At 41.6% G+C, this 12818-nt stretch overlaps 1 protein-coding gene across 4 annotated transcripts in view; it reads left to right on the plus strand.

Moving 5' to 3' along the window:
* TMC5 (transmembrane channel like 5) overlaps window positions 1-12818 on the plus strand; it is an 88575-nt gene that overhangs the window by 14758 nt on the left and 60999 nt on the right. For all 4 annotated transcript variants that reach the window (NM_001308161.1, NM_001105248.1, NM_001105249.1 and 1 more), the window contains exon 2: window positions 5117-5344. The gene's annotated coding sequence lies outside the window, so the exon portion shown is untranslated. The remainder of the gene's footprint in view (window positions 1-5116; window positions 5345-12818) is intronic.

The following is a 12818-nucleotide window of genomic DNA, read 5'->3' on the forward strand; positions in this document are numbered from 1 at the left end:
TGAGCCATTGGTCCAGGTGAGTTGAGTTTGCTTTTTTTTTTTTTTTTTTTCCTGTGCACCCTTGACTGCTCACAGACAGGCCAGAGTTTAGTTTATTCATATCTGGTTCTGACTTTCTTTACAGCTTTTAGAGGATTGCTTGTTTTGGAGTTTCTATTTGTCTTTGTTTTTTTGTTGTTGACAGAGAAAATATACACAGCTTTACTGTGTCTCTGAGATCACCCCAGTTCTTACTCATTCTCTTTGTTGGGTGGTATAATTTGGACCGACTGCTTTCTAGAGCTGGCGCACAGCTGTTATCCTGGGATTTCTTTCCATTGTCTCTTGAATATCATTTCTCCCTTTCTCTCAAATACCTTCTTCATCTTGCTTTAGCTTTTCCTCAAGCAATTTATTTTTTTATTTATTGAGATAGAGTCTCACTCTGTCATCCAGGCTGGAGTGCAGTGGCGTGATCTCAGCTTACTGCAACCTCTGCCTTCCAGGTTCAAGTGATTCTCCCACCTCAGCCTCCCAAGTAGCTGGGATTACAGGCATGCACCACCACGCTCAGCTCATTTTTGTATTTTTAGTGATGACAGGGTTTCACCATGTTGGCCAGGCTGATCTCAAACTCCTGACCTCAGGCAATCCACCCGCCTTGGCCTCCCAAATTGCTGGGATTACAGGCGTGAGCCACCGCACCCAGCCAATAGCACCTATTTCTAAGGCTATGGTAAGATTTAAATGGGTTAATGCCTGTCCAGATCTTAGAACAGTGCCTGGCACTGATATATAAGTTGTTTTGTTATCATTGATTTCTATTTGTGTTTTGCTGTCTGCAAATCCAAGCAATAATACTTGGGTTGTGTTATATAATACTTGTTTAACTAAGCATTATAGGACTATTATAAGAATCCGAATTAGTCTTATAAAGAGCTACGCTTCTGACCTCCAAGGTGGATCCAGAAGGAGGTTCTTTTTCCTCTAAAAGAGGGAGACTTGATGCAGACCCATACATGCAGGGTGCATAAAAGTCACCCCAGCTTCATTGCCTCCTGCCACCTTTCCCAGACCCGGTGGTAGAGAATAGGGAGGATCCCTAGCCAAAGGGAGCATTAAACTTTATCATTTTTCACTGTTCCTGGCAGGATTCTGAGCACACTGACAGTGGGGAAGGGAAGAGGACAGGTTTCTGTAGCCTACGGGTCTCCAGTAAGCAGCATCCTTTCTTGTTGGATAGCAGAGGAGCCCACTCCTAGTAGATCTCAGTGGGTGCAAGAGCCAGGATGTGCACCTTGACTTGTCTCCATCTGTCCCAGAGACGGGCGTCCTCCTTCTTCTGGGTTGGGATCCAGCCATCCAGCCAAGCAAGAAGGGGGAAACTGCTGAAGCACAAGTAACCCACAAACCCACTTTTTGTTTTGTTTTGCTTTAAAAAGCAATTTAATCATCTTAAAACATTTTTTATTGCTTCTCTTTTCTTTTTTAAATGCTCACCTTCTCTGTGATGGTAACAAATCAACTTTTTTCTTCCCTCCTCTCTCCCTGCTCCTCGCTGGCTGATCTGCAGTGATTCTTAAACTTTGGCGCATAAAGGAATCACTTGGGAAACCCGATAAAAAGCTAAATTCCCAGGTCCCACTTGAGGTTTAGTGAATGAAAACTTCTGGGAATGGGACCTGGGCTGGGGTGGTCTTCCTGGGACTGATGGGGTTTTAGCACAGAACTTCTAGTGCCAAAACTGGGGAAGTCCTGGGCACACTGGGACAAGCTGGTCACCTGAGGATCCATGTGCCCCCCTCTCCAGCAGGCTCCCAGGTGACTTTCATGGGCACCCAAGCTTGATGTTGTCAGATGCACCCTCATCAATAATGTTTTAAATGTTGGAGTTCCGGCTGGGCACAATGGCTCACACCTGTAATCCCAGCACTTTGGGAGGCCAAGGCCAGCGGATCACTTGAGGCCAAGAGTTCAAGACCAGCCTGGGCAACATGGTGAATTAAAGTTAATTAAAATTAAATTTAATAGTTGGGCACAGTAGCTCACACCTATAATCCCAGCTACTCAAGAGGCTGAGACGCAGGAATCACTTGAGTCCAGGAGTTCGAGGCTGCAGTGAGCTATCATCGTGCCACTGCACACCAGCCTGAGTGACAAAACGAGACCCTGTCTCTGAAAGAAGAAAAATAAATAAACAATTTAGTTTCTCAATCTAGTTCCCGAGCTGGCCATATTTGAAGTGTTCCATAGCTACATGTGGCTAGTGGCTGCCATATTGGACATGCATGTAGAGAACCATTCCATCGGCATAGAAAGTTCTGTTGGACAGCCTTGCCCTAGATCAAGTTTTGTCAACTTTGGCACTCTTGGCATTTGGGGCCAAATAATTTTCTATTGTGGGGAGGCCAGTCTTGTACATTTTAGGATGTTTAACAGCTACCTACTAGATGCCAATGTCACACCCCCTGCTACAGTTGTGACAAACCAAAATGTCTCCACACATTGCCAAATGTGCTCTCAGAGGCAAAGTCGCCCCCACTTGAGAACCACTGCTCTAGATCCATAGTTTCTGCCACTCTCTTTCTTAAATAGAATGAAAGCCAGCCGCACACTGCGTACTTCAAACAGAACATCAGCCCCTGAATGCAAACATTGTACTGCGATTCAATTGCATCGACCAGCTTTACATCTAAGGCCTGTGAGCTTCACCCACCTTGGGGACTGTCTTAGGAGAAGGAAAGTCTTGTTACAAAGTAGCATTAATCAAGTGGGCTTAGAGTTATAGTTAGGGTAAAACTGCTGGGAGGGGTTTAGTCCATGAACTTCCTTCCAAGAAAGGATCGTGGTAAAAGAGGAGGAATCTTAGCTAGCGGAAAGAGATTTGATAGGCTTCAAACATCCATGTAAAATAAAATAATCTTCTCATTCTAGCTTTTTTAAAAACAAATTTTACTTGTGAAGATTAATTGGTGACTTGTGAAGATTAATTGGTGACATTTGCCAACTCTTTCTTCTCAAATTTCCCAATTCTTTTTTTTTTTTTTTTTTGAGACAGCATCTTGCTCTGTTGCCCAGGCTGGAGTACAGTGGCATGATCATAGCTCATTGCAGCCTCGAACTCCCAGCCTCAAACGATTGCGCTGGCTTAGACTCTGAAAGTACTGCGATTACAAGCTTGAGCCACCTCACTCAGCCCCAATTCTCATTTAAAAAATACATTAGAACTCATGTTAATTCAGTGTTATAAGACGCATTTGTTACTTCAGTAGTAAACACTATACCTTAGACCATTTCCTTGAAGGATTTTTTGCCATGTTTAGGTGATGACTTTCAAGCGATTAAAATTCATTTTTCTTTTTCTAGCTTCTGACTCTTTCTCACTCATTTAACAAGCTAAAAATCTTACATTCTCTTTACCTTACCTTTCCTTGAGAATTGAATAAATATCTTGAAAACTTAGTAAATTCCTTAAAGAAGGGAAAACAAACAAACAAAAAGGACAAGAGGATGACTATTTTGCTGTATTTATATTTTCCTTTTTTGTTTTGTTTTGTTTTGTTTTCTTGAGACAGAGTCTCTCTCTGTTGCCCAGGCTGGAGTGCAGTGGCATGATCTCGGCTTACTGCAACCTCCGCCTTCCAGGTTCAAGCAATTCCTGTGCCTCAGCCTCCCAAGTAGTTGGGATTACAGGTGCGAGCCACCACGCCTGGCTCATTTTCTTATTTTTAGTAGAGATGGGTTTTCGCCATGTTAGTCAGGCTGGTCTCCAATTCCTGGCCTCAAGTGATCTGCCCATCTCAGCCTCCCAAAGTGCTGGGATTACAGGCATGAGCCACCATGCCCGACCAGTATTTTTATTTTCCTATTCATAGGTTTGATCTTGCTGTCTTGAAACCACAGACCTTATTTTCTAAGCATAGGCCTCATTTTCTTAGGCTCCAAGGAGTCTAAGTGTATGGCTGTGAATGTGCCTGACACTCTGAAAAGCCAACATGGATCTCAATACTAACAAATGTTTATTTACAGGAAGGCTTTGTTAATTGAGTGATGGAAGCTATTGCTCTCACTTGCTATTTAGAGACTATTGACATTACCTTTATTTCCTGGTCCTAAACATTACACACTGCAGATAAAGGAGTTCCTGGCATTTATTTGTCATGGCATCGAGGCTGACAGCCAAAGTAATCATTACACTAATACACATTCCCAGAAAGAGCAATCAAGAGCAGGCAAGCAAACGAAATCAATGTCTCTGCTGAAATGTGCCTGTGTGTGAGCGTCCCATGACCTGGTGCTCTGGCAACCACTCGTCCATGTGTGGGGGCCATCATCCTTGTGTTGGAGTTGTCTGTCCAAGATCAGGTGCCTGCAAAAAGAATGGGAGCTTCCAGAACCGCTAATGTGAAACTTTGGTTGAAATGAGGTGCCTGGGAATGAGCGATTTCTTCTTTTTTAAATTCTTTTTCATAGCCTTTCAAGAATTTTTAGAATTAGCCAGTCTTGAACTCCTGACCTCAGGTGATCCACCTGCCTCGGCCTCCCAAAGTACTGGGATTACGGCGGGAATCACTGTGCCTGGCCCAAAGTTCCCCTTTTTATAAGGACACCAGTCATGTTGCATTAGGTCCCACCCCAGTGAACTTATTTTAACTTGATTACCTCCACCGAGATCCTACTTAGAAATCAGGTCACATTCTGAAGTACTGCGGACTGGGACTTGAACATACCTTTTTGAGGGGATGCAACTCAACTCATAACAGTGGTCACGGTATGAACAGCATATGCCCTGGAAAGTCACACACCACATTTACGATAGTGGCACCTTCCAGACAGGGAAGAGGACACTGGAAAATTGGATTAGGAAGAGGTATTAGAGAGCTTCACCAGAAATGTTTTATTTCCTTAAGAAAACAAATGCAAGTCTGGAATTCATATGAAAAAGATTAGTATGAGTTAATATTTGACCTTTTCTTCTCTATGCTTCACTGTAGTCTAATGTTTCAAGTTTTTAAGAGAAGAGAAAACAGGAAGCCATTTGAGGCAGTGTTTTCTGCTTCCAAATGCACAGGATTGGGTTGTACAGTATGAGCCCATCTTTTATGGAAGTTTAAGTCCTCTGTCTTCTGATTTTCAGGACATGAGGCTCTGCCTGCAGTCAGCAACTTGGAATATTCAGACTTCAGACCAGCATCACAGATTATAACCCTCCGTAAATCATCTGCATCCCAGCTCCCATCAAAAGCCAGCCTGAAGGACCCATGGACACGTGACTCCAGTGTTCTCAACAACATCTTAAGATCAAGTTGGTTTGCACAACATTTGCATCTACTTGGGACAAAGCAAGAACAATAAGGGCAAAAAAGTAAGTTTTCATACAGCTGAATTTATTCGGTTAAATAAACTACCCTTCTTTTTGAGATGGGGTCTCCCTCTCTTTTTTTTAAGTCCATAAAATGTTTTATGAGATAATGGTGATAGTCAATTGTGATAGCTGCCATTGCCTTTAATATCCTTAGATGGCAAAACAGAATTTTATTGGGACTAATTTCTTTCCTTCTCTCCACTCTCTGCAATAAAAACAATTTTTTTTTTTTTTTTTGAGACTGAATCTCGCTCTGTCGCCAGGCTGGAGTGCAGTGGCACGGTCTCAGCTCACTGCAACCTCCCACTCCCTGGTTCAAGCAATTCTCCTGCCTCAGCCTCCTGAGTACCTGAGATTACAGGCACGCGCCACAACAAAAACAATTTTTTAAAAATTATTTGGTCTGTTTTAAGTCAAATAAATGATGGTTCATTGGAACTAGTTAAAAACTTCTGTAGAATCATTTTCATAATTTTAACTGTGGGTCTTAAGTATGTAGGGATCTTACATTATTTACAGGATCATCACTAGCATATAGAACATTGATTTCATTTATGTTAAGAGGTTAATCATGGGTTTTCATGACAAAGTTCACCCCGTTAGAAGATAAAACGTGGGGGCCGGGCGCGGTGGCTCACACCTGTAATCCCAGCACTTTGGGAGGCCAAGGTGGGTGGATTGCCTGAGGTCAGGACTTCGGTAGCAGCCTGGCCAACATACTGAAACCCCGTCTCTACTAAAAATACAAAAAATTAGCTGGGCATGGTGGCAGGTGCCTGTAATCCCAGCTACTTGGGAGGCTGAGGCAGGAGACTCGCTTGAACCCAGGAGGCGGAGGTTGCTGTGAGCCGAGATCGTGCCATTGCACTCCAGCCTGGGCAACAGGAGGGACCTTCCATCTCAGAAAAAAAAAAAAAAAGAAGAAGAAGAAGACAAAATGTACGGCTGAAATTGGACTTTGTGGCCTTGTTTTGCCTCTCTCGGGGCAACTTCCTGCTCTTGGTGCTGGTCAATTTGCTGTTTTGTAAGGCCCTGGTTTCTCTTTCCTGTCTTTCAGGTAATAAATGGCCTCAATTAGAAAAATTAACCTTTGGACAATTCACAGGCTTCATGATCACATGTTCTAGCCAGGCCCAGGGCAGGAGATGGGAAAAGGAGATTAAAGATAAGAATCACAGCTGGCCATCTTCTGCTGGCACCTGTAGATCTAAAGCATTCTTTGTGACGGTTCCATGGTATTCCACTGTGCAGATGTCCTGTGACTGATTCAGCCCATCCCCTGTTGATGAATTTTTGAATTGCTCCCAGTTTTTTGTCATTATACACAAAGCTTGGCCTGACAATCCTTAGCAATTCTGGCTGAGTGTCTGGGTTTCGTGAGATCATTTTGGTGGTGCAGAACAGAACTCGTGGGTGGCTGGCCTGGCCTTATGTTAGCTTGAGGCGGGGAGAAGTGGGAGGCGGCAGAGAGCCAGGTAAATAGCTTGACTGTGACCTCATCCATATTCTAGGATGTAATTGATCCCTAGAAGATTTCTGAATTAGCTGAATGACAAACACAAGATACTTAGATGACCCATTCGAACCAGGAAGCCTTGCAACATCAAGTAAGGAGTCCTCAATTAACAGCCTTAGAAGACATGTCATTGCTTGGGCATGTGATTGAAAACCATTCAAATGGTGAAGTGAGAAACCCTAAATGGGATATGGAAAGGAGGAATTGAAATAGATGGTTCAATAGCCCTTATTGAGGAGGTGCTAGAGAAAAACCAGGAAGAAAGAAAGTAGGATAGTACCCTCTTTGTGCTTTTTCCAAGGCAACAGGAAACAGTATCATTCCTTTGAACCTGCAGCATACCTCATTTACTCCTCTAATAGTTAACAGGAAGCTAAGGGTAAGGTTCTCAGAAGGCCACTCCCACTTCATGTGACATCAGTGTGAGAGACTATTTCCTTATGGCCATTTCCTCCTCTCTCTTTCCCAATCCTTTTCTGTGGGTTTAGCTCTTTGTTTGTTTAGGTATTTGTTGCAGTGCAGGTGGTATGGTTACAGCATTTGTTCCCAACTGTGAAACAGATGTGCAATACACAAGCTCTTGTCAAATGGCAATGGAACAGAGAACTGTCCAACAGACTTGAAGCTAATTGTTGGCTGATCACATATAACATCCATCTTTCTATCTATCTATCATCTATCTACCCATCTGTCTATTTATCTGTCTATCTAATCTATGTGTGTTTTTGTATGTGTGTTCTATGAATGTGTATATATAATGTATATTATATGTGTAGATCTATTATATATGTAGATATGAATAAATATATACATAAATTGTATGGATATCTTTGTGTGTATATACATATAATATACACATATAATACACATATACGCATACAATATGAAGTTATATACATACATACATATATATAAATTTGTCAAAGATTCAAAACAAAGACCAAAATGATTTGTATCAGTCAGGCTAGTCTAAACTCTGCTGCATCAAAATAACACTATCTCAAAATCTAAATGTCTTAAAACATAAAGGTTTGTTTCTTGCTCATGAAAAGCTACTGTGGGTAGGTGCAGGTGGGCTGTGAGCCATGCAGTCATGCAGGAACCCGGGCTGGTGACTGGGTCCCCTTTGGGAATATCACTGGTTCCCATGGCAGTGGAAGGGGAGCTAGAGGGTCTCATTTTGGCTTTTGAATGCTTTCTCTTGGAAGTGACACAGTCACTTATGCTCACAGCCCACTGGCCAAAGATAGCCATATGCGATTGTCTTCCTGCAGCACAATGACCTGGAGGGGACTCCAGAGTCTCTCCCCAACTCCACTCCTGCAGCCCCTCTTGGAGTTAGAGCTTCTGAGTGCTTTGTTTGCTGGTGACCCTGAGTCCTGGCTTTCATTACATTGTTATTCGATCCCTTTGAAAGAGTTCTCATGATAAATTATTTTCAGAAATTGATCTTGGGAGGAAGTGTAGTCCTCTTGAAAAACTGGTATACTTCCTTTTTATTGCCACACATAGTGAGTATTAGATAACTTGTCATGATTCCCTTTTAGTCTTGGCTAATAAGAAGCTCAGGGCAAAATTTAGTTCTCAGTTACAGTCACTATGTTGGCCTGGGAATTTTGCAGGATTGCTCCTTCCTCTACCTGATTATAAGACATTTCCTATTTCTTTCTTTCTTTTTTTTTGAGACAGGGTCTCATTCTGTTGCCCAGGCTGGAGTACAATGGTGCGGTCATAGCTCACTGCAACCTCAGCCTTCTTGGCTCAAGCGATCCTCCCGCCTAGCCTCCTGAGTAGCTGAGATTACAGGCATGTACTACCATGCCCAGCTAATTTATATATATATATATTATATATATAATATATATATAAATCTATATATTATATATATAATATATATAATATAAATCTATATATATTATATATAATATATATATATCTATAATATATATATTATATATATATCTATATATCTAAAATATATATATCTATAATATATAGATCTATATATGATATATAGATCTATTAGATATATAATATATATATCTATATATCTATAGTATATATATCTATATATATAATATATATCTATCTAAAATATATATATCTATAATATATATAGATCTATATATAATATATATTATATGATCTATATTATATATATAATATAGATCTATATATAATATATATTATATGATCTATATTATATATATAATATAGATCTATATATAATATAGATATAATATATATATCATATATATCTATATATAATATGTATATATCATATATATCTATTATATATCTATATCTATAGATAGATAGATAGATAGATAGATAGATATAGAGAGAGAGAGAGATGGGGGTCTTGCTATGTTGCCCAGGCTGGTCTCAAACTCCTGGCCTCAAGGAATCCTCCTGCCTTGGTCTCCCAAAGTGCTGGAATTACAGATGTGAGCCATCATGCCTGGCCCATTTCCTATTTCTTTAATCATGTCCTGGTTGAGTGTGTGACTTTTACTGTGTACTCACTCCTATCTCTTTTGGAAGTTGCCAGGGTTTACATTGTACATAAATAAATATAATATCACATAATAGCTTCCATTCAGTGACTGCTTCCTTGATGTTGGCCACCTTCTGTGCCTTATCTTGTTCATTCCTTACAACAATCCTATGAGATATTATTGTCAGTATTGTATGGTTGAGGAAACAGACTCAGAGGGGTTAAGTGACTTGCCCAAGTCCACACAGCCAGCAAACGGAAAGTAAGCCCAGTTCTGACACCAAGGGCTGGGTTCCCAACCACTTTCATTTCACAGCATCACATAGACAGATGATTCCATTCAGGTAACGTATATTCACCTAGAAGACCTGTCTTCACGTAGGTTTTGTTTTCATTGGTTCCGATTTTCTTTGATTTATGTATAAGAAAATTGGAAATATTTGTGAGCCAAAACCCTACCGCTTTTTTCAACTGGTATAATGGCTCCTGGGAGAATCGGAAGGTTTTATGTTACAGCTTCTGATTTCTCATTTTCTTTTTAAAATTTAGGAGTATAGGCCAGGCGCAGTGGCTCACACCTGTAATCCCAGCACTTTGGGACGCCAAGGCGGGTGGATCATGAGGTCAGGAGATTGAGACCATCCTGGCTAACATGGTGAAACCCCATCTCTACTAAAAATACAAAAAAAAAAAAAAAAATTAGCCGGGCATGGTGGCGGGCACCTGTAGTCCCAGCTACTCGGGAGGCTGAGGCAGAAGAATGGCGTGAACCCGGGAGGCAGAGGTTGCAGTGAGCCAAGATCACGCCACTGGACTCCAGCCTGGGCGCAGAGTGAGACTCTGCCTCAAAAAAAAAAGAAAAAAATTTAGAAATATGTATTTACAGAGATGTGCACAACTCTTAAGTGTGCAACCTGATGGATTTTTACATACACACACACACACACACACATGCCTCCCTTTAACCACCGCTCAAGATCATCAGCCAGCAACCCAGAGATTCCCTCCTGCAATTCCTAGTCATCACTCACCTCTTTCCTTCCTCAAGGTAGCCACTATTTTGACTTCTGTCACCATGTATTACTTTGCCTGCTTTTGAACTTTGTAAAAACATTATGCAGTATGAACTCTGTTGTGTCCAACTCTTTTTCCTCATCCTTGCATCTGTGACATTCATCCATGACGCTGCGTGCAGCAGAAGTTCAGTCTTTGTTGCCTCTCTGTAGTATTTCATGGGATGAATATGCCACAATTCATTCACTTATTCCACCGTTGAATGACATTCAAGTTGTTTTCAACTTTTGACTCTTATGAAAAATAGTTTCTGGCCAGGCACGGTGGCTCACGTCTGTAATCCTAGCACTTTGGGAGGCCGAGGTAGGTGTTTCACCTGAGGTCAGGAGTTCGAGACCAGTCTGGCCAACATGAGGAAACCCCCTCTCTACTAAAAATGCAAAAATTAGCAGGGCATGGTGGCGGGCACCTGTAATCCCAGCTCCTCGGGAGGCTGAGGCAGAGAATTGCTTGAACCCGGGGATGGGGGTGCGGAAGTTGTGGTGAGCCAAGATGGCGTCACTTAACTCCAGCCTGGGTGAAAGAGCAAAAGTTCGTCTCAAAAAGAAAAAAAAAAAGAAAGGAAAAAGAAAAAGAAAAACAGTTTCCGTGAACATTTTTCTTATCTTTTGGTAGAAATACTCATTTATTTTGGGCCAATACAGCTGTATCTGTTTTCAATTTCTTGAATTTACTAGGCATCGTTCAGCTGGTTAGATGTAATAGCTTTGGGCTTTGTTAGGCTATGGAAGTTTCTGGAGCATAAATGTAACTTTCTAGTCTTAGAATACAAGTAAACAAATGCGATAATTTTTCTTGTTAGGAAAAGTAATTTGCAATGAAGCACAGCATTTAGTCTTCTTAGCACTACAGACAGTTTATATAGGTGTTCTTATTTGCAAAACTGGCATATTTGTCAGAATTCTTTTTTTTCATTTGCAAATGACAGACACCCAACTCAAACCAGCTTTAGTCAAAAAGAGAATGTAATGACTCAAGTATCCAGCTGCCTTCAGGTTTGGCTGGATTCAGGTGTTTAAATGATGTCATCAACATCTGACAATGTCATCAACATCTGGCTCCTCTTTCTGTTTATCTCTTGGTTCTGTTCTCCTCCCTGTTAGCATCACTCTTAGGCCCTTCTCTACTGGTGACCACTGGCAGCTTCAGGTTTAAAATTTCCTAACTTTGGCCGGTTGCAGTGGCTAACACCTGTAATCCTAGCACTTTGGGAGGCCGAGATCAGATTGCTTGAGCTCAGGAGTTTGAAACCAGCCTGGGCAACATAGAGAAACCCTGTCTCTATAAAAATACAAAAATTAACCAGGCATAGTGGTGCACACCTGTAGTCCCAGCTACTCAGAATGCTGAGGGAGGAGGCTCACCTACGCTTGGGAGGTCGAGGTTGCATCGAGCTGTGATCATGCCACTGCACTCTAGCCTGGACGGCAGAGTGAGACCCTGTCTCAAAAAATAAAATAAAGTAAAATTTCCTAGCTCCAAGGCCGGCAGAAGGCAGAGCTTCTCTCTTCCCTACAGTTCTGATAAAACTCCCAGAATTGAATCTCACTGGCTTTAACTGGGTTGTATGCTCTGACAGAATCACTGTCTCCAGGAAGAAAATAATTCTGATGGGTCATATTCCACACCTGGCCCACAGGGACTGACTGTGTGGGAGAGGTGTTACCCAGGGAAAAGTGTTAACCACAAAAGCGAGAAATGGATGCTGTGCAGGGACACAATAATGAAACACAGATGTCAACTATGCTGAGAAATTTGGATGTGGGTTGGCACACGGACATTCTGAGACTGTAGGTGTTGGCAGAAAGTTAATATTATCGTAGCTCTGATTACTCAAGTCTAACCCTTGTCATTTACATAGAGATAAACTTGTAAAAGTTGGCTGAGCTTTAAAAATGTTCTACTTCCTTATTTCAAAAATATTGCCGTTCATCTCATCATGCTGGCTTGAAACTGTAGAGATATGCTTGACTTTTATTTTCCTTCTCATCCTTTCCCTACTGGATCAGCCAACAAATCCTATTGATTCTTTCTTTAAATTTTCTGCCCTACTAATTACTCTTTTTCTCTATTCCCTCTGACATGACATTGGAAGCTCCAGGCTTATGTATATATTCTATCCCCTTAGCCACCCCAGTGAAATAAGAGCACCTCTTTCCCAGTAAGCCTTGTCCTGGTCCTGGAGGACTGACTGGGTTTACATGCCCATTCTTGAGCCAAACTCTGTGGCCAGGGGGATGGTGGACACCTGAGTCATGTGACCATCCTGACCAGCCAGTCAGGAGTACAGTCAGCCCTTCCTGAATCACCTGGACCAAGAGCGAGGGAGAGTAGGCAAGTAAAAACAACAGGTATCCAACACACTTAGAAATGAAAACTGGAGGCCA

Source organism: Homo sapiens, chromosome 16, assembly GCF_000001405.40.
Source record: "Homo sapiens chromosome 16, GRCh38.p14 Primary Assembly".
NCBI classification, from domain to species: domain Eukaryota; kingdom Metazoa; phylum Chordata; class Mammalia; order Primates; family Hominidae; genus Homo; species Homo sapiens.